Raw genomic sequence first — 20,889 nt, forward strand, 5'->3', positions numbered from 1 at the left:
CTTCACGGACCTCCCCTCCCCCAGGGAAACAGAAATGGACAGGTCACCTGTTCATGCCACACAGCTGGGGTCCAGCCCCCACGGGGCAGCAGGAAACACAGACGTGACAGAACACTACCCAGAGTGGCACGGTGATAGCAACAGAGGGGACCAGGGAGGCAGGAGATGTAGGGAGAATCCAGAGAGTGAAAGAGACTTAAAATGCAGCTCAACCAGGCCAGGTGCAGTGGCTCATGCCTGTAATCCCAGCACTTTGGGAGGCCGAGGCAGGAGGATCACCTGAGGTCGGGAGTTCGAGACCAGCCTGACCAACATGGAGAAACTCCGTCTCTACTAAAAAAAACACAAAATTAGTCAGGCATGGTGGCGCATGCCTGTAATCCCAGCTACTCGGAAGGCTGAGGCAGGAGAACTGCTTAAACCCGGGAGGCAGAGGTTGAGATGAGCTGAGATTGTGCCACTGCACTCTAGCCTGAGCAACAAGAGCAAAACTCCATCTCAAAAAAAAAAAAAAAGGAGTAACATCTATGATATATATATGAAACAAGTAGAAATTTGATCATTGAAAATGGGTATTTAATAATTTTAAGGAGTCACTGTGTTTTTATATGTTTTTATTTAGGAGACGTCTCGCTCTATCACCCAGGCTGGAGTGCAATGGTGCCATCATGGTTCCCTGCAGCCTCGACCTGTTGGGCTCAAGCGATCCTCCGACCTCAGCCTCCCAAGGAGGTTGGGACTATGGGCATGAGTCACCATGCCTGGCTTTATTTTCTTTTGTAGAGACAGGGTTTCACTCTGTTTGAGACCAGGCTGGTCTCAAACTCCTGGCCTCAAGTGATCCTACTGCCTCAGCCTCCCAAAGCACTGGGATGACAGGCATGAGCCACCTCACCCAGCCTGGACTGACCCATTTCCAGAACTCAGTTGCCTTGTGTGTAAAGGCAGGAAGAAACTGACTTTATACTTTTTCTTTCCTTCACCACAGAACCCCTTCTTCAAACAGAAGCTTTGATGACAGCCAAATACACATAAATAAAAACAAAACAAGCAGCTCAGGCTGATGCAGGAGGTGGGTGGGGGGTGCTCAGAATTCAGACCTAGATCCCTGGGGTTTCCCTTTGAAATTCACTGGGTTGGGGCATTTTTGGGTCCTTTCCCAGGGGCGAGGCACTGAGTTTCAGTTCCTGAATACTCGGATCACTTCCCTTAAATGTATAAAGTGGGCAGGGGCAGGGGCAGTGGGGGCAGAGGAAGAGACGGGGGCCGCCAGTCCCTTTTGGCCTGAGCTGAGAGATGAAGAATGAGCCCTCCAGCCTCCCGGTCTGATCTGCCACAGGAGCAAAGGGAACCAGGCACACAGGCTGAGTCTCTAAGCAAGAGGTTTGGCACCGGGGAGGAGGCAGGTAGCCTAAAGGGATGGAGGGGACAGATCAGTGCCAAGAATGGAATGCAGCCCTCCCAGCCTTTAGGAGCAGCCATCCCTAGAGCAGCTGACAGGGACAAGCGTCCCTTCAGACCTGCAAGGGATCCACACTGCTGGGGCTCTCGGGTTCCTGAAGTCAGTGGGTTACAGGAGAAATTTTCCACATGGGGCAGTGCCTGGAGTTCCTAGGCAGGCCAGCAGCCTCCCTCCCTCCGCCGCCCACCCACCCCAGGATCATCGGTGTTCTGGCTCCCGGGCTGCACACACATCCAACAGGTTCCAGCTGCGGAAATTAGTCCATGGCCCTGTGGCCCCTGCTTTGAAGGTTCCATCCGTCAGCTCCGAAAGCCTCGGGCTCGGGGCCAGGACGAGGCTGCTGAAAGTCATCTTGAAGGCTAATGTGAAACATACACGGGCGCGACCCCAAACTCCCCAGAGCCCGGCTCTTCCGAGAGCTCACAGAACTCTTCCACATCACAGTTCTGGAACCTTCTCCAGCATCCTCACATTTCTGGACTGGTTTTGTATTTTGTTCCTCATCCGTGTCACACAGGTAGCACTGATTAGCAAGAGCACTGGTCACAGGTTCAAATCCGACTCTGCTCTACTGTTTTGAAATAGCAGTGAGGCCTGAGTTCGAGTGATACGCCCGCCTCAGCCTCCCAAAGTGCTGGGGTTACAGGGGTGCACCATGGCGCCTGGCCCCTCTCCCTGCATTTCTATCTGTCCTGGCAATTGGATGCCTCCCCTACCTGCCGCTCTGGCCTTGACCTCTCTCATGAGATCCAACTCAATGTGCCCGGAACCACACCCATCTATGTCCAGCCCCAAGTTGCTTTTCTTCTGGGGGTCTATTGGAAGCATTGTGTTCTCCCAATCACTGAAAGTCAAACCTACATGTGACTCTGATGTGCCAAGCACTATCTGAGCAACTCAAAAATAATTTGTCTACAGGCCTCAGTTTTTCCCATTTGTGAAATGGGGAAGCAGGACTGGAAGAACTCTAAGACTCCTTCCCGAGCTTAAAATGGAAAAAGTCTATGATTTTAAACCAACTTTAGGCCGGGAGCGGTGGCTCATGCCTGTAATCCCAACACTTTGGGAGGCTGAGGTAGGCGGATCACCTGAGGTCAGGAGTTCGAGACCAGCCTGGCCAACATGGCGAAACCCTGTCTCTACTAAAAATACAAAAATTAGCCGGGCGTGGTGGTGCGAGCCTATAATCCCAGCTACTCAGGAGGCTGAGGCAGGAGAAGCTTGAACCTGGGCGGCAGAGGTTGCAGCGAGCCGAGATCAAGCCACTGCACTCCAACATGGGTGACTTTTTTTCCATGACTCTGTCTTGGGGAAAAAAAAAACTTTAAAAAGGCCTGGCCAGCACAGTAGTTCACGCCTGTAATCCCAGCTCTTTGGGAGGCCAAGGCGAACAGATCACCTGAGGCCAGGAGTTTGAGACCAGCCTGGCCAACGTGGCAAAACCCCATCTCTACTAAAAATACAAAAAATTAGCCGGGCGTGGTGGTATGAGCCTGTAATCCCAGCTACTCAGGAGGCTGAGCCAGGAGAATCATTTGAACCTGGGAGGCGGAAGTTGCAGTGAGCTGAGATGGGGTCACTGTACTCCAGCCTGAGCAACAGAGTGAGACTCTGTCTCAAAAAAAAAGTCTGGGGACAAGTCAGCCAGCTTTGATTTCCAAGGGGTGAGAACTTAGTTTTTCTCCAAAACACAGTCCATCAAGGGCAAGATCCACAGCTCCTGACTAGCACCAGGCTAGACACCATACAGACACCCAGTAAATCTGTAAGGGAAGAAAGCATGGAGGAGGAGGAGGAGGAAGGGGGGAGGAAGAGAAAGAGGAGGAGGAAGAGAGGGGGGAGGAGGAGGGGAAAGAGATAACATGGGCTTTGAAGACACCCAGGGCCAGGTGCAGTCCTGGCTCCACTGCCTACCAGCTGTGAGGTTCGATCCCTCCAAGCCTCAGATGCCCCACCTGGAAAAGTGAATGCCTAATTCATATGACTACTGAGGAGAACAAAGTGAATCCCTATGGCACATATGCGATAAAAGATAGGTGATTATTAGTATAATTGCATGAATACCGAATGAAGTCATTTGTCATGAAGGTTCAAGAAAAGGGCCAAAGAAAGCATCAGTTGGTTTGGATTCTCTCATTAGAGAGAAATCCGATAAAGACATAATATGTGGGCCCTGGTGCAATGGCTCTCGCCTGTAATCCCAGCTACTTGGAAGGCTAAGGTGGGTGGATCGCTTAGGCCCGTGAGTTTGCGAGCAGCCTGGGCAACATAGCGAGACTCATCTCTACAAAAAATAAAAAATAACAACAATTAGCCGTGCATGCCCATAGTCCCAGCTACTAGGGAGGCTGAGGCAGCAAGATCACTTGAACCCAGGAGGTCAAGTCTGCAGTGAGGTGTGATTGTGCCACTGCCTGGGCGACAGAGTGAGATGCTGTCTCAAAAAAACAAAAAAAGAAGGCCGGGCTCGATGGCTCACGCCTGTAATCCCAGCACTTTGGGAGGCCGAAATGGGTGGATCACTTGAGCCCAGGAGTTCGAGACCAGCCTGGCCAATATGGTGAAACCCCATCTCCACTAAAAATACAAAAATTAGCCGGGCGTGGCGGCGGCTGCCCGTAATCCTGGCTACTCGGGAGGCTGAGGCACGAGAACTGCTTGAACTCAGGAGGTGGAGGTTACAGTGACCCAAGATCGCACCACTGCACTTCAGCCTGGGTGATAGAGTGAGACTCTGCCAAAAAAAAAAGTCAAAACAAAACAAAACAAAAGGCCAGGCACAGTGGCTCACGCCTGTAATCCCAGCACTTTAGGAGGCTGAGGCAGGCAGATCACCTGAGGTCAGGAGTTTGAGACCAGCCTGGCCAACGTGGTGAAACTCCGTCTCTACTAAAAATACAAAAAGTAGCAAATCTCAGCTACTTGGGAGGCTGAGGCAGGAGAATCACTTGAACCTGGGAGGCAGAGGTTGCAGTGAGCCCAGATCACACCACTGCACTCCATATTGGGCAACAGAGTGAGACTCTGTCTCAAAAAAAAAATTAAAAAAAAAGACAAACCTAGGCAACATAAGGAAATCCTGCCTCTACAAACATTTAAAAATGATCTGGGCATGGTGGCGCACCTGTAGTCCCAGCTACTTGGGAGGTTGAGGTGGGAGAATCACTTGAGACCAGGAGGTTGAGGCGGCAGTGAGCTGTAATCACACAACTGGACTCCAGCCTCAGCAACAGAGCAGAACCCCCCACAACAAAGAGTATACTGTCTAGGTCCCAATCAGTGCAACAAAACAAGGAAATATATTAAAAGAGGTCAGGTACTGTGGCTCACGCCTGTAATCTCAGCACTTTGGGAAGCTGAAGCGGGTGGATCACGAGGTCAGGAGATCGAGACCATCCCAGCTAAGATGGTGAAACCCCGTCTCTACTAAAAATACAAAAAAATTAGCCGGGCGTGGTGGCGGGCACCTGAAGTCCCAGCTACTTGGGAGGCTGAGGCAGGAAAATGGCGTGAACCCGGGAGGCGGAGCTTGCAGTGAGCCGAGATGGCGCCACTGCACTTCAGCCTGGGCAACAGAGCGAGAATCCGTCTCAACAAAAATAAATAAATAAAATAAAATAAATAAAAGGCATAAAGATTGGAAAGAAGAAACAAAACTGCTATTGTTAATAGATGGTATAATTGCTTAACTTAAAATAACAAACCCCAAAAATCAAATACCTAGGAATAAACCTAAGAAGATATGCAAGTCTTCTACAAAAACCCTACAAATCAACGGAACAATATGCGATGTTCACTGAATAGAAAACTCCGTATAATAAAAACTTCCTGTTGATCCACAAAATCAACAAGATTCCAATCAAAATTACAGCCACCTTTAAAGAAATATGGACAAGGTGATTTTAAGATTCATATGGAAACACAAAGGGTCACAAGACAAGGCAATCTTTTTTTTTTCTCTTTTCTTTTTCTTATTTTTTTGAGACAGGATCCCTCTCTGTCACCCAGGCTTGAGTACAGTGGCATGATCTTGGCTCACTGCAGCCTCCGCCTCTGGGGTTCAAGCAATTCTCCTGCCTCAGCTGGATAGGAGAGTAGCTGGGATTGCAGGCGTGCACCACCACACCCAGCTGATTTTTGTATTTTTTTCTAAAGAGGGGTTTCATCATGTTGCCTAGGCTGGTCTCAAACTCCTAGACTCAAGCGATCCTCCCTCCTAGGTCTCCGAAAGTGCTGGTATTACAGGCTTAAGCCACCACGCCCGGCCTGAAAAGGAAATCTTGGAAAAGAACAAAGCTGAAGAACTTATCACAGAGTGAGTCCTATCATAAAGCTAGTTAAGACAGTGTGGCACTGGCTTCATAATAGACACACCAGCCAGGAACTGACCCACACTAATGGAGTCACCTCATTTATGACAAAACAAGATTTCATTGCCAATGGGGAAAGGACTTTTTTTTTTTTTTTTAAGACAGAGTTTCATTCTTGTTGCCCAGGCTGGAATGCAATGGCACGATCTCAGCAGACCGCAACTTCCACCTCCTGGGTTCAAGCAATTCTCCTGCCTCAGCCTTCCCGAGTAGCTAGGATTACAGGCATGTGCCACCACGCCCAGCTAATTTTCTATTTTTAGTAAAGACGGAGTTTCTCCATGTTACTCAGGCTGGTCTCGAACTCCCAACCTCAGGTGATCTGCCCACCTTGGCCTCCCAAAGTGCTAGAATTAAAACGCGCGGGCCACCGCGCCTGGCCAAGAGGATTTTTTTTTCTTTTTTCTGAGATGGAGTCTCGTTCTGTTGCCCAGGCTGGAGTGCAGTGGCGCAATCTTGGCTCACTGCAACCTCCGCCCCACCGGGTTCAAGCAATTCTCCTGCCCCAGCCTCCTGAGTAGCTGGGATTACAGGCACCTGCCACCACACCCGGCTTATTTTTTGTATTTTTAGTAGAGACGGGGTTTCACCATGTTGGCCAGGCTGGTCTCGAACTCCTGACCTGAGGTGATCCACCCATCTTGGCCTCCCAAAGTGCTGGGATTACAGATGTGAGCCACCGTGCCCGGCCCAGGAATTTTTTTTTTTTTTTAATAATAATAACAGTGCTGGGTCAACTGGACATCCATATGGGAAAAAAGGGGAGACCTTGACCTCATCTTCCACCAAACAGAAAAATCTATTCCAGATGAACTATAGATCAAAATATAATCGTTCAAACAATAAGGCTTTTTGAGAAAAACGTGAAAATCTTCATGACCTTAGAGCAGGCAAAATTTTCTTAAGCCAGATACAAAAAGAATTAATGCAACAAGCAGAGCTAAATAGTCTGTGTTAAAATTAAGAACTTCTAGGCCAGGCGTGGTGGCTCACACCTGTAATCCCAACACTGGGAGGCTGAGGCGGGAGGATTACAAGGTCAGGAGTTCAAGACCAGCCTGGCCAACATGGTGAAACTCCGTCTCTACTCAAAATACAAAAATTGGCTGGGTGCAGTGGCTCACGCCTGTAATCCCAGCACTCTGGGAAGCTGAGGCAGGCAGGTCACCTGAGGCCAGGAGTTCGAGACCATCCTGGCCAATATGGTAAAACCCTGTCTCTACTAAAAATATAAAAATGAGCTGGGCATGGTGGCGGGTGCCTGTAATTCCAGCTACTCGGGAGGCTGAGGCAGGAGAATCGCTTGAACGGGGAGGCGGAGGTTGCAGTGAGCCGAGATCGCGCCAATGCACTCCAGCCCGGGCGACAAGCGAAATTCTGTCTCAAAAATAAATAAATAAATAAATAAAAATTAGCCGGGCATGGTGGCCGGCACCTGTAATCCCAGCTATTCAGGAGGATGAGGCAGGAGAATCGCTTGAATCCAGGAGGCAGAGGTTGCAGTGAGCCAAGATCATGCCACTGCACTCCAACCTGGGCTACAGAGCAAGACTCTGTCCTGAAACAAACAAACGAACAAAACAAACCTTCTGCTCATTCAAAGACACCTTTTTAGGAATGTGAAAAGACAAGCCACAAAGTGGGAGTTTTTTTTTCTTTTTTTTGAGATGGAGTCTTGTTCTGTCACCCAGGCTGGAGGGCAGTGGCGCAATCTCAGCTCACTGCAACCTCCGCCTCCCAGGTTCAGGTGATTCTCCTGCCTCAGCCTCCTGAGTAGCTGGGATTACAGGTGTGAGCCACCACACCCTGCCTCTCATTTTTGTATTTTTAGTAGAGACGAGGTTTTACCATGTTGGCCAGGCCGGTCTCAAACTCCTGACCTCTGTGGTAATCCACCCACCTCAGCCTCCCAAAGTGCTGGGATTACTGGCATGAGCCACCGCCCCCCACCTGGGAATATATATATATCTGACAAAAGACTCACATCCAGAATATATAAAAAAGTCTTATAGTCTGAATTGTGTCTACCTATAAGGTGTATATATTAATATGCTGAAGTCCTCACCCCCAGCACCTCAGAATGTAGCCATATTTGGAGATAGGGTCTTTAAAAATGTAATTAAGTGAAAATGACATCTTTAGGGTGAGCCCTCATCTAATATGACTGGTGTCCTTATAAGAAGAGTTTAGGGGCTGGGCACTGTGGCTCACGCATGCAATTGCAGCACTTCGCGATGGCGAGGCGGGAGGATCACTTGAGCCCAGGAGTCTGAGAACAGCCTGGGCAACAAAGCAAGACCCGTCTCTACAAAAAAGAATAGTTTAGGACAGACATGCAAAGGGAAAACCACATGAGGGCAGGGAGAAGACAGCCAACTACAAGCCAAGAAGAGAGACCTTCAAATAAACCACAGCTGCTGCCACTTTGATCTCGGATTCCTTGCCTCCAGAATTGTCAGAAAATACATTTCTTTTTTTTTTTTTTTTTTTTTTGAGACGGAGTCTCACTCTCTCACCCAGGCTGGAGTATAGTGGTGCAATCTCGGCTCACTGTAACCTCCACCTCCCGGGTTCAAGCCATTCTCCGGGTTCAAGCAATTCTCCTGCCTCAGCCTCAGGAGTAGCTGGGATTACAGCTGTGCACCACCAAGCCCGGCTAATTTTTGTATTTTTAGTAGACACTGAGTTTCACCATGTTGGCCAGGCTGATCTAGAACTTCTGACCTTAGGTGATCCGCCCACCTCAGCCTCCCAAAGTGCTGGGATTACAGGCGTGAGCCACTGCGCCCAGCCTAAGAAAATAAATTGTTGTTGAAGCCCCCATCTGTGGTACTTTCTTACGGCAGCCCAAGCAAACGAATACACCTGACAATTAATAAGAGCCAACCCTTTGAAATAATGGAGAAAAGACCTGATGAGACATTTCAGAAAATATCCAACCACGAAACAAAGGCCAGGTGCAGTGGCTCGCACCTGTAACCCCAGCACTTTGGGAGGTCGAAGCAGGAGAATTGCTTGGGCTCAGAAATTTGAGACTAGCCTGGGCAACATGGTGAAATCTCATCTCTACGAAAAATATAAAAGCGTGGTGGCGGGCGCCTCTAATCCCAGCTACTCAGGAGGCTGAGGCAGGAGAAACGCTTGAACCCAGGAGGCAGAGGTTGCAGTGAGCCAAGATGGTGCCACTGCACTTCAGCCTGGGCAACAAGAGCGAAACTCCATCTCAAAAAAACAAACAAACAAAATCACACACACATACACACAAAAAAAGAAAAGAAATCTACAACTACACACAACAAACAATATGGACGAATTGTATATACACAAAGCTGAGCAAAAGAAGCCAAAAACTAAAGAAGACATCCTCCACGATTTCACTGGCATAAAATGTGAAAACAGGCGAAACTCATCCAAGGGGCTAGAAGTCAGGTTCACTAGCAGTGGAGGGCGGAGACTACATGGGCAGACGCAGGGGATTCTGGGTACTGGTTACCCTGATGTGTTCAGTTTGTTAAAATTAATCGAGCTACGTGGTTACCATATGTGCACTTTTCTGCATGTATATTATACTTCAATGAATGGGGTTTTTTTAAGGGTACAGTGTTACAGAAATGGAAACTGCTTTTTTGTTAAAAAAAAAAAAAAAAAAAGGCTTGGAGCTGGGAACAGACTGCTGATGGAGAAAAGCCCAATTTTAGGACATTAGAGAAGAGTCTGCAGCCCCGAGTTGTGTCCTGAACACCTGGTAGTGCACAAATCCCTTTCTCAAACGGCCACGTCCCGTGGTGCAGTGCCCAGGGCAAGGTAAGACACTGGAAGACAGAGGCTGCAAGACACAGGCTGCGACCCCGCAATGACTGGGAGGGCTGGCCCAACCTTCCCCACACACTGCCCTCCAAAGCAGACTCTCACGTCTGTTAGGGCTGTGTTTATGTCACCCAGCAACCCTGGAGAATCACTGCTTCCCCACTTTCAGTCCACGTGGTTCTGCTGGGCTGACCCCAGCCAGCAACTCCAGTCTGGCTGAAGGCTGTGCTAAGACTGTCAGAGCCAATCCAGAGGCATCTAAGGGAATGACTGAGGTTTTGGGAAGGACCCTGAGCTGGCAGGATAGACGCCTGAAGCTGCTGTGGGCCCCTTCTTCACCCACCCTCCCTACCCTCCCATGGGGAGAAGCCTGCCAAGAATGAAGCAGAAAGAGGGAGTCGAAGTGGGAAGCAGAAAGGAGAAACAGACTCAATTTCTCAAGATCATTTTGGAGCATCCAGACATAGATGTCCCCGGAGGTTACATGCTGAACTTACGACCTAAGTCTATGAATTTCCTTTTGCTTAGGACAGCTAGAGTTACATTTGTCACTTAGGTCACTTATAACAAATGTGCCCTATCACCACTCTCTGGAAGCCTGTGTGCAGCTCAGAGACCGAAATGGGCATAATAATTCCCCAGGCCAACTGCAGTCAGCGGCCTCCCTCAGAGTTCAGAGCAGCTGTCCCTCTGCAAAGCACTTGAACATTCATCGCTCCATTTGATCATCACAGAAATACCAAGGGAGAGGGGGCTGGATGACTGTTCCTGCTTTCTTTTTTCTTTTCTTTCTTTCTTTCTTTCTTTTTTTTTTTGAGACAGGATCTCGCTCTGTTGCCCTGACAGAGTGGAGTGGAGTGCAGTGGCGTGATCTTGGCTCACTACAGCCTCAAACTCCTAGGCTCAAGTGATGTGTCCCACCTCAGCCTCCTGAGGAGCTGGGACTACCGAGGCATGCCACCAAGCCCAGCTAATTTTTGTGTTTTGGGTTTTTTGGGTTTTTTTGGTTTTGTTTTGTTTTGTTTGAGACAGAGTATTGCTCTTGTTGCCCAGGCTGGAGTGCAATGGCCAATCTCTGCTCACTGCAACCTCTGCCTCCAGGGTTCAGGCAATTCTCCTGCCTCAGCCCCCCAAGTAGCTGGGATTACAGGTGCCCGCCACCATGACCGGCTGATTTTTTTGTATTTTTAGTAGGGACAGGGTTTCACCATGTTGACCAGGCTGGTCTCAAACTCCTGACCTCAGGTGATCCACCTGCCTCAGCCTCCGAAAGTGCTGGGATTCCAAGCGTGAGCCACTGCGCCTGGCCATTTTTGTGTTTTTTGTAGAGACGAGGTTTTGCCATGCTCCCCAGGCTGGTCTTGAACTCCTGGCCTCAATCGATCCTCCTACCTTGGCCTCCCAAAGTGCTGGAACTAGCAGGTGTGAGCCACCGCACCCAGCCTGCATATCTTTAACATGCTTTTGGGTCAATTATTCTGGCTGGATCATCTGACACATCTGACACACTGGCCGGCTGCTTTCATCCTCCACACAGACACACCAGAGTTGGCTTCTATAAAACTTCAATCAAATGACCTCACTGCATAGCCACTAGCATGGCTATCGTCAAAGAGACAGACAATAACAAGTGTTAACAAGGATGTAGGGAAACCAGAACCCCTACACACTGCTTATGGGAGTGTAAAATGACACAGCTGCTTTGGTAAACAGTCTGGCAGTTCCTCAGTAAGTTAAACACAGTTACCACATGATCCAGCAATTCCACTCCTAAAGATATACCCAAGATAAGTGAAGATGCATGTTCAACAAAAACCTGTATGTGAATATTTTTAGCAACATTATTCATAACAGCCAAAAAGTAGAAACAACCAAAATGTCCATCAACAAATGTGGTCCAAAAACAAATGTTTTTGGATAAACAAAATGTAGTCTATCCATACAATGGAATATTATTCAGCCAAGAAAGAGAGTGAAGTACTGCCTCATGCTGCAACATGGATTGCCTTGAGAACATGACACCAAGTGAAAGGAGCCAGACACAAAGGATCGTGTGTTCTATGATTCCACTTGAATGAAATGTCCAGAATCAGCAACTTCATAGAGACACAAGGCAGATTAGCAGTCATGCTAATCTAACAGCGATGGGGGAATTGATACAGTGTTTCTTTTGGGGGTGATAGAAATATTCTGGAATTTAGTGGGGATGGTTATACAGCATTGTGAATATATTAAAACCAATGACTTGTGCCTTTTCTTTTTTTGGGAAAGAGTCTCAGTCTGTCACCCAGGCTGGAGTGCAGTGGTGCAATCTCGGCTCACTGCAACCTCTGCCTCCCAGGTTCAAGTGATTCTCCTGCCTCAGCCTCCCGAGTAGCTGGGATTACAGGAATGTGCCACCACACGTGGTGAATTTTTGTATTTTTAGCAGAGACGGGGTTTCATCATGTTGGCCAGGCTGGTCTTGACTTGAGGTCAGGACCTCAAGTGATCTGCCCGCCTCAACTTCCCAAAGCGCTGGGATTACAGGCGTGAGCCACCGCGCCCAACCAACTTCTACATTTTAAAATGGTTAAGTGGCAACTTTTATAGTATGTGAATATGATCTCAATTTTTTTTTTTTTTTGAGACAGTGTCTCACTGTGTCGCCTGGGCTGGAGTGCAGTGGCGCAATCTTGGCTCACTACAACCTCTGCCTCCCGGGTTCAAGAGATTCTCCTGCCTCAGCCTCCCGAGTAGCTGGGATTACAGCCGCCCGCCACTACACCCAGCTAATTTTTTGTATTTTTTAGTGGAGACGGAGTTTCACCATGTTGGCCAGGCTGGTCTCAAACTCCTGACCTTGTGATTCGCCCGCGTCGGCCTCCCAAAGTGCTGGGATTACAGGCATGAGCCACGGCGCCCAGCCACTCTTCTCAATTTTTTAAATGTGGCCAGGTGCATGGTTCAAGACCAGCCTGGGCAATGTAGTAGCAAGACCCCATCTCTACAAAAATAAGTAAATAACTAACTGGGTGTGGTGGTACACGGCTGTGGTCCCAGCTATTCTCGAGGCTAAGGTGGGCGGATCGCTTAGGCCCAGGAGTTGCAGGCTGTAGTGAGTCATAATCACGCCGCTGCACTCTAGCTTGGACAAAAGCACGAGACTGGTCTCTAAAACATATAAATAAAATTAAATAAAAATGTTTCAAACCCAACCCAAGAAAATAATCAGATCACAGAGATACTCCCTTCACCCCACTTTAAAGCTCCCCAGTGGCTTCCCAACACACTAGAAGTCAAACCCAAATTCCCTACAGGAACCTGGGAGGCCCTCACATCCCAGCTCCGTGGCCTCTGCCACCTCTTCTGCCACTTTCTCACTCACTCACTCACTCAGTTCCGCACTCCAAGTTTATCCCCCGACTTCCCTTGTGCCCTTGCTCTTCCCTCAACCTAGAATGTCTTTTCCCACAGCTGATTCTCATCAGTCAGGTCTCTGTTCAAATGCCCCCCTTCATCCCAGAGAGGGCCTCCCTGACCACCCTGTCTAAAATGAAGCCCCACCACGTGCCATGCCATTATTCTGTTTATTTTTACATAGCCCTGTCACCATCAGAAAAGACATTTCATTTTATGATTATTATTTATTTTAGAGATAGGTCTCGCTCTGTTGCCCAGGCTGGAGTGAAGTGATGCAATCATGGCCTGCGGGCGTGAACTCCTGGGCTCAAGTGAGCCTCCCGTCACAGCCTCCCAAGTAGCTACAACTACAGACACACACCACCACACCTGGATAAATTTTTTTTTTTTTTTTTTTTTGAGTTGGAGTCTTGCTCCGTCACCCAGGCTGGAGTGCAGTGGCACGATCTCGGCTCACCACAACCTCTACCTCCTAGGTTCAAGCTATTCTCCTGCCTCAGCCTCCCAAGTAGCTGGGACTACAGGCGCCTGCCACTACGCCCGGCTAATTTTTGTATTTTCAGTAGAGACGGGGTTTCACCATGTTGGCCAGGCTGGTCTCGAAATCTTGACCTCGTGATCCTCCCGCCTCAGCCTCCCAAAGTGCTGAGATTACAGGTGTGAGCCACTGTGCCCGGCCTAATTTTTTTTTTTTTTTAGAGATGGGGTCTCACTATGTTGCCCAGGCTGGTCTCAAACTCCTGGCCTCAAGCAATCCTCCCGCCTCAGCCTCCCAAAGTGCTAGGATTACAGGCATGAGCCACCGTGCTCAGCCAGATATATCATTGTAAACACTGTTTACTTTTTTTTTTTTTTTGAGACAGAGTCTTACTCTGTTACCTAGGCTGGAGTGCAGTGGCATGATCTCAGCTCGCTGCAGCCTCTGCCTCCTGGACTGAAGTGATCCTCTCACCTCGGCCTCCAGAGTAGCTGGGACTACAGGTATGCACCACCACGCCCAGCTAATTTTTTGTAGAGAGAGGGTTTCACCATGTTGCCCAGTCTGATCTCAAATTCTTGGGCTCAAGCGATCTGCCTGTCTCAGCCTTCCAAAGTGCTGGGATTACAGGCGTGAGCCACCACCCTCGGCCTACTGTTTACTTCTTTTTTTTTTTTTTTGAGACGGAGTCTCGCTCTGTCGCCCAGGCTGGAGCGCAGTGGCGCCATCTCTGCTCACAGCAAGCTCCGCCGCCTCCCAGGTTCACACCATTCTCCTGCCTCAGCCTCCCGAGCAGCTGGGACCACAGGCGCCCGCCACCACGCCTGGCTAATTTTTTGTATTTTTAGTAGAGACGGGGTTTCACTGTGTTAGCCAGGATGGTCTCGATCTCCTGACCTCATGATCCACCCGCCTCGGCCTCCCAAAGTGCTGGGATTACAGGTGTGAGCCACTGCACCCGGCCACTGTTTACTTCTTGACTGCCTCTTGTACCCACCAAGAGGGCAGGGAACTTATCCATCTGTTTGCAACTCTGACCTTGCCCACCAAGTAGCTAAAAAGTGTTTTTCTGGAAAGAATAGATTGATTGAACAACTGCCTGTAAGATCTGAAATGCCACCTACTACTGGCCGAGCGTCCAGAGTACTAAGTCATCAGCCACCTGCAGGTGCTCAGGGAGCTCATGTGCATTTGCTGAGCTCGCAGTTCCAAGCCCTGCCCCAGGCTTGTCTAGAACCCCAAGGAAGCAGGAGGAACAGCCCCTCGCCTCGAAAGCCTTAAAGTCTATGAGGGATCATAAAGCACCCAGTGTTTACCCGGCAACCCACAAACAAATGCAGAAGAGAGATCTCAGATTGCGTTGCTGACACCCAGGCTGGAGGCAGCGTCCAAATGGGCCTCATAAAACTGTGTACCGGCAAACGCCCTCTGATACAGCTTCTTAAGACTGCAACCCTACCTGTTCTCCAGAATGAAACGGTTGCAGCTCACACCTGCTCCTGCCTTCTCCCGTGGGGACTTTGTTTTGAGAGGCAGTTAAAAGTCTAAATGGGCAGGTGGTGACCGCCTCTTTCCCCTTCCCTACTTCAGCATGTCTGAGCCACACACACGGCAAGCGACTTACCCACTAGGAGTTTGACGTCTCGGACTGTGAAATCAGGGTCAGGCATCCTGGGGAAAGAGGAGCACAGACCTTTGGTGAGAGGCCAGAAACAACAGAGCTAGACTACCCTGGGCCCGGGGGGAAGCCATTTTTCCAAGAGAGATCCTTTCCCCTCAGTTTGGGAACTCAAAATGAGAACATCCAGAGGGAGAGAAGTAGACCAGTTGATGCCTCCAGGGAGGGTCACCCCAGAACCACTGAGGCCCTTCCCTACCCCAAGAGGCAACTCAAACCTGAACCTCAGCAGAGGGTAGGACATCCACTGTCCACCCCATTTTTCCAGGGAAGCTGGAAGTGTGGGGTCAAAGGTAAGGGCCAGAGCTAGACATTCAAATGCCTGCTTTCTTTTAGGGTGGGTAGCCCTCTCTATGTCTCTTTCTCCCTCTAGAAAATACTCTCCATGAGGAGTTTTATGCAAAGTGGGACGGACCCCTTTAAGTTCAGAGGGAAAAAAAGACACGCATTGTACTAGTTCCAGGGATGTGGTAATATGGGCTACAATTCACTATTAATTAACAATGATGCCCAAGGTTTAAATCCTACTCACAGGGATGGACTCTTGAGCAAGTCTGGGAGCAGATGCTGGAGAGAGGCTGCCTGGGACGACACCCCAAGCCTCCTCCCCTGCCCCTGCCCAAGGGGCACAAACCTGTTCTTCCAGCCTGCCTCCCAGACCTCTCCCCCAACCTGGAGCTCTGACAGATCTCAGTGAATGAAAACAGACATAGTGGAGGGGCAAGCTGCAGGGCAGGCAAAGAAAGGGGAGACATTGGCACCCCAGGAATCTGCATAAGAAACATGTATCTAGGTGCCCTGGGTCTGGGCTTAGAGGCTGGCTAGTCTCTTTGCAGCTCAGGCTCTGCCTCAGTCTCCTGATCTGGAGCAAGGGGAAGGAGGAGAGGTACAATTCTCTGTAGGAGGTCACTGAGTGTAACTGGGGTGGGTCAGGGAAAAAAGTCAACACTGCTTAATTACCCTATGTCCTCTCTCTGCCCAAAGTCCCTGCAAAAGACCAGTCTTTGGAGAGTGTTTCCCCTTTGTCAGGCCTTGAACAAGGAGATGCTGTTCCCAGATCGTGAAAAAAGATCCTTCTCAGTGATGAGAGGTGGGAAGAGGGTGGAAGAAATCCATCCCAAGCTATAAAGTATGTTAGGGAGGAAGACGGGGGAAGGAGTGATTAGTTTCAGCAACTTACTTAATTCCCAGTCCATCCTTTTCTCGAAATATCAGGGGAACCCTGAGAGCTTCTCTCTGTACGTACTCATAGTTGAAATCTGTTTGGATATTTGAATTAAAACAAGTTGGTTAAGTCACGAAGGAGCAAATGAACCGGGATCTGTTGGTTAGGGGAAGAAAACTGATGGACGAAGGGGCAGGGGGTCCAGGAGATGCAGGCACCAGCTGTACAGCAAAAGCTCCTTGGAAAATGATCGGGAAATGGATTAGGCAAAGCCCAAGAGAAGCCATGCCAACGATCAGCTCCTCTGCCTACTCAGTCAGTCATTCTCGGCATGCCCCACCGGTCCAAACTTGTCAATGAACAGCCCAAGGCCAGCGAGGGTTGGGGAGGAAGACTCAAAAGAGCACCGCACAAAAAGAGTCCCAGCCATTGCTGAGAAAGAGGGATAGACAGAGACACGCATCCCAAGCCGCGCTCGGAAAGTAAAGGGACTGCAAAATTGAAGAATGCCACCTGGGAGGATCTGAAGGCCCAGAGAGGAGGCTGGGAGGAGGGCCCTCATTGTAGCTGAGCATCAGTGAAAATCTTATTGTAATATCCTGCATAGTGAAGGGGAGGGGGGAAAAGCCGGTTTCCCTGGAAACTGTGTATTTGGTGCCAAAATAACTAGGGAACTGGGCACAGCTTTGTTGTCTTAAGAGTGAAATTCTGCTGTAGCCATCACAGTCCTTGCTTCAGCTGGATAACCGGGAGGGAGGCTCCCCAGGGGAAGGCTGTGTAAAGGGGGCATAGCAAGACCCAAGGAAAATTCACAGGCTCGCTCTCTGTCTGGGGTTTTTCTAGTACAGTCCCCAAATCCTTACCCAAAGTCCTGGAGGATGAAGGAGGCCTCTAATTTCTTTCCTTCCCCAATTCTGAAACCAGTGAATCTGACCCAACCATACACCCCTGAATATGAAGGTGATGGGTCTTGAGATAAATTCTCACGTCCCCCAAATCCTCAGGTAACTAAAGTAATCCGCAAGGTAAGAAGGCCTCTCCGACCGTCAGAAGGGAGAAGAAGAGGCCTCAGGCCACTGAAGCTGCTAGCCCAGGGAAACAGTTCACAGGGCAGCCTTGGGGGAGGAGGAGGCCAAGACAACTCCCCTCCGAAGAGAGACAGAGAACAAAACCCAAAGCCGGGGAAAGCCCTGACCTCAGCAGCTCAGATCCCCAGGGGCTCACAGTGAATGGGGATTCCTAAGGATTTAAAGGAAGAGAAGTTTAAGAAGCTTCTATTTTGAATCCAGGCTAAGGGCTCCTGTTTCTAAGCTCCTCCCTCAAGTTTTGGGGCCAGATCTGAATTAAAGAGCAAAGCCCTGGGCCCTCCCCTTTGAAAGAAGCCGGGAGAGCAGATCTAAGGATACACTTTAGCTCTCCCTGGCTGGAATACCGGCCCTCTAGACCCACCCACCCTAGGCACCCCATCCCCCAGGGTCAGCTTCAACTTCCTCAAATCAGCCTGAGAAAAAGCTCTGAAATCCTGGGCTGAGAATTCCTCCCAAATGACTAGGAAGAGTTTGCATATTGTTTGCACATAGGATCCACCAAATGACTCAACTCAGTAAAAATGGGGGAAGAAAGGAGAGGAATTAAAATTCCACTTATGTAGAGAAAATTTAAATCAGCTGGGACTAGCACCCTGCTCTAGGACCAGGCAGGCTGGGAGAAATTTATTCTTCCCTCCCCCAACAAACACCCCTCACCACCGGAGCCCAGCGCTCCAGGAGGCAATGGGCACAAAAGAGAAATCGCAAAACTGCAAAGCTGGGAGTCTCTTCTCAGAGCTAACCCCACAGCCACAGCCACTCAACCAGAACCTGGAGGAGGGAAGGAGGCACTCCAGGTTATCAGCTCACTGAGGGATGGAAGGGTTTTCCAAGGGGCGTGGGGGGAACAAAATAGAAACTTTGTAACTTAAAGGAAATTGAAATATCTGAAAGGGAAAAGGAGTGAAGGGCCTGGGAAGGCTAGGTAGGGCATGTTCAAAACCCCAATCCCGCAGGCAATACTAGGTTCCTCAACCAGGAGCCACACTGGCTGCAGGCTGGGAAGGCCAGGGCTCTGGAGGCCTCAGAGGCAACCCAGGGCGTCACCTTAACATCTGGAGGGTGACCCCCACCACCCTCCTAGTAGGAGAGCCAGGGAGAAACTCAGGCCGTGAAGGTCTCCAAAACCCTGGAGGCGTCCCCAGATTCCGCTCTCAATTGGGTGGGCCCACAAGGAACAGAGCTCTCCAAGTCTCAGGCCTGGGAGGAGACCCATTTCCTCACTTCAAACTGCCAGGGGACAGGGATCTCCCCCAGAAGCCTGAAGGGAAGTCACCCCCTGACCCCAATTCTTGGCTTCAACCTATCAAGGCTGTAGCGCTAGACAGCTCCGGCCCAGGTAGGGGTTCAGGTCAACAGCTTCAGGGCTCATGGGGTCCCTGATCCAATCTGGCAGAGCCCATGGGGGAATGCGGCTCTGCGGACCCCAGGCCTAAGGGGGCATCGTCCCAAACACCCGACGCGCCCCCATCACCAGTTCCTCACTGGCAGGCCCCAAGCGGGAACGGGATTGGGAAGGCTTCGGGCCTGGGGGGCCTTACCCCGATGCCCCAGGGGCGCCCTGAACCCAGTTCCAGCCAGGCGGCGGCACCTCAGGCAGCGCAGGGAGCGCGACCGGCTCGGGGAGGGGGAGGACGCGGCGCTCCCGCCCTCCCTCGGTCCGCCTGTCCATCTCCAGGTCCCTCTGTCCGCCGGCCCCCTGGCTCTGCCCACCCTGGGGCTGGTGGTGGGCGCGGGCCGGGCCTAGGCCCATGCCCGGCCCCCCTTACTGCCTGCCCTCCTCCCTCACCACCCCACCCCACCCCCCCAGTGCTCGGCCTCGTTTCGTCACCGGATCCCCTGGAATGGGGGACGCGGGCGCGAAATACGAACCCAGCCACCGGCAGCTCCCTCCCCACGTGCGCTCGGCCCGCAGCGCAGAGGGCGGCCCGGGGTGGGGGCGCCTCACCTTTGCCCTCCATGGCGTGCACGAAGTCCCCCTGGTACAGCTGGCTGCGAAGCTTCTCCTCCAGGCTGAAGCCGCGGACGCTGACGATCTCCTCCACGTCCGACAAGTCCTCGTTCTCGTCGTATCGCTGGCGGTCAATCGGGCGCTGCGAGGACCCAAACCAGAGAGCCCGGGACATTATTGTGGGGGCTGGAGGTCGCCTCTCAACCTGGGCCCAGCACTAACAGGTGCAGCAGCCGAGCGCCCCCTGCACCCCACCATTGCAACCCAAGCAACTTTGCGCAATTGCCAAAGATGCTGAAAAGCAGGACAAGGAGAGGGGCCCGCACCCCGAGGGTCCAGCTGCGCTCTACGCGGGGTACTCCCCTCCGGTGTCTTCGGAAGCACTGAAGGGACATCTGGGGACCCTCCCCTGCCCCCCGCCCCCGAAATGTGCTGGGCTTCGCCCACTCGGCCGGGAGCCTGGTTATGTAACCCGCGAAGGGGGCTCCGGACACGGGCTGGCGGGGCAAATGTAGGCCCCAGGAGGAGCCGCTGCGGCGCCCGGCTCGGCGGTAACAGCAGCCCCAGCGGCCGCGGCGGCAGAGCCGGGAAGCCGGAACCGGGGGCCGGCGGCATTTCTAAAGCTGGAGCCGCCCCCGAGCTACCGGGGAAGCTGGAAAGCTGAAATGGAAGGGCTGAGACCCCAGCCGCCCCCGCCGCCCGCCCGCCAGTGCAAGAAGAGGAGGTGGGGGGAGGAGAATCGGGGCTTGGAAGGGGGAGAGGCAGACGGCCCGCCACAAAGCTCGGATCGGAGACCCCAAAACGCACCAGCAGCTGCCTCATCTCCCCACAAGCGCGCGCGCACACTCACTTCCTAAGGAGACTCCCCCACCACTCCCCGCATCCCCCTGCCTCCTCCCTCCACCGCCCAGCGCCCGGCCCCTCAGCCCCCCAGATTCCGGGCGAACCCCGAGCCCGCTCAGCCCCCCTCCACGCCTTTCCCCGATACCACCTCCCCACTTAAGTGTCTGAGACTCTAAGCCTCACAAGGGGCTGGAGGAGTAAGCAGCTTGCTTCCTTTTGCATGCAATTTATTATATTTTTTTCCCGGTCCTCTTGCAAAATACAGAAAAGGAAAGAAAAGGCAGCGAGAAACAACCAAAAAAAAAAAAAAAAAGATCTATCATATGCCAGATACAGATTTGGAAAAAAAAAAAAAAAAAAAAAGCTACACACCAATCTTCTTCCAGAGTCTTTCTCTGCCTCCATTTTTTTAGGAGAGTTCACCAATTAATTGTCAACACTCCTGCCCCCTGCATTTTGGCCGAGGGGGGAAGGAGGGAAGACCAAAGAAAACAAACCAAAAAATAAATAAATAAAGCAAGCCAGAGCCGAGATCTACAAAGTTTTGCACCAACACTTAGGCAGATCCGTTTGCAAAGTCCTAGGAAACCATTTTCAGCAGTTGTGGGGGGGGGGAGGCGTCGACGTCATAATCCCCGGAACGTA

The 20,889-nt window shown here is 51.0% G+C and overlaps 1 protein-coding gene across 40 annotated transcripts in view, besides 3 other annotated features; it reads right to left on the reverse strand.

The window, feature by feature from the left end:
* KDM2B (lysine demethylase 2B) overlaps positions 1–20,889 on the reverse strand; it is a 173,819-nt gene that overhangs the window by 150,943 nt on the left and 1,987 nt on the right. For 17 of the 40 annotated variants that reach the window (XR_007063140.1, XM_047429682.1, XM_047429681.1 and 14 more), the window contains 3 exons: positions 19,399–19,543; positions 16,378–16,456; positions 15,144–15,190 (listed from right to left, as the gene is read on the reverse strand). Coding sequence is in view for 39 of the 40 variants with exons in the window: in XM_047429682.1 (XP_047285638.1) it covers positions 15,144–15,190; positions 16,378–16,456; positions 19,399–19,543 (271 nt within the window). In the remaining variant the exon portion in view is untranslated. Of the gene's footprint in view, positions 1–15,143; positions 15,191–16,377; positions 16,457–18,991; positions 19,167–19,398; positions 19,544–19,727; positions 20,257–20,427; positions 20,844–20,889 lie in introns of those variants that run through there. The other 23 variants (XM_047429696.1, XM_047429690.1, XM_047429688.1 and 20 more) reach the window with 6 other exon arrangements.
* Positions 16,832–17,409: an enhancer, noted in NCBI's record as "NANOG-H3K27ac-H3K4me1 hESC enhancer chr12:122014140-122014717 (GRCh37/hg19 assembly coordinates)". NCBI's record gives its function as "activates a minimal SCP1, AML or CMV promoter by ChIP-STARR-seq in naive and primed H9 embryonic stem cells {active_cell/tissue: H9 hESC(naive and primed)}" and the evidence as "EXISTENCE:reporter gene assay evidence [ECO:0000049][PMID:30033119]".
* Positions 17,410–17,988: an enhancer, noted in NCBI's record as "NANOG-H3K27ac hESC enhancer chr12:122014718-122015296 (GRCh37/hg19 assembly coordinates)". NCBI's record gives its function as "activates a minimal SCP1, AML or CMV promoter by ChIP-STARR-seq in naive H9 embryonic stem cells {active_cell/tissue: H9 hESC(naive)}" and the evidence as "EXISTENCE:reporter gene assay evidence [ECO:0000049][PMID:30033119]".
* Positions 19,662–19,741: a silencer, noted in NCBI's record as "silent region_4977". NCBI's record gives its function as "represses an Ori minimal core promoter by ATAC-STARR-seq in GM12878 lymphoblastoid cells {active_cell/tissue: GM12878}" and the evidence as "EXISTENCE:reporter gene assay evidence [ECO:0000049][PMID:35858748]".

Source organism: Homo sapiens, chromosome 12, assembly GCF_000001405.40.
Source record: "Homo sapiens chromosome 12, GRCh38.p14 Primary Assembly".
NCBI classification, from domain to species: Eukaryota; Metazoa; Chordata; class Mammalia; order Primates; family Hominidae; genus Homo; species Homo sapiens.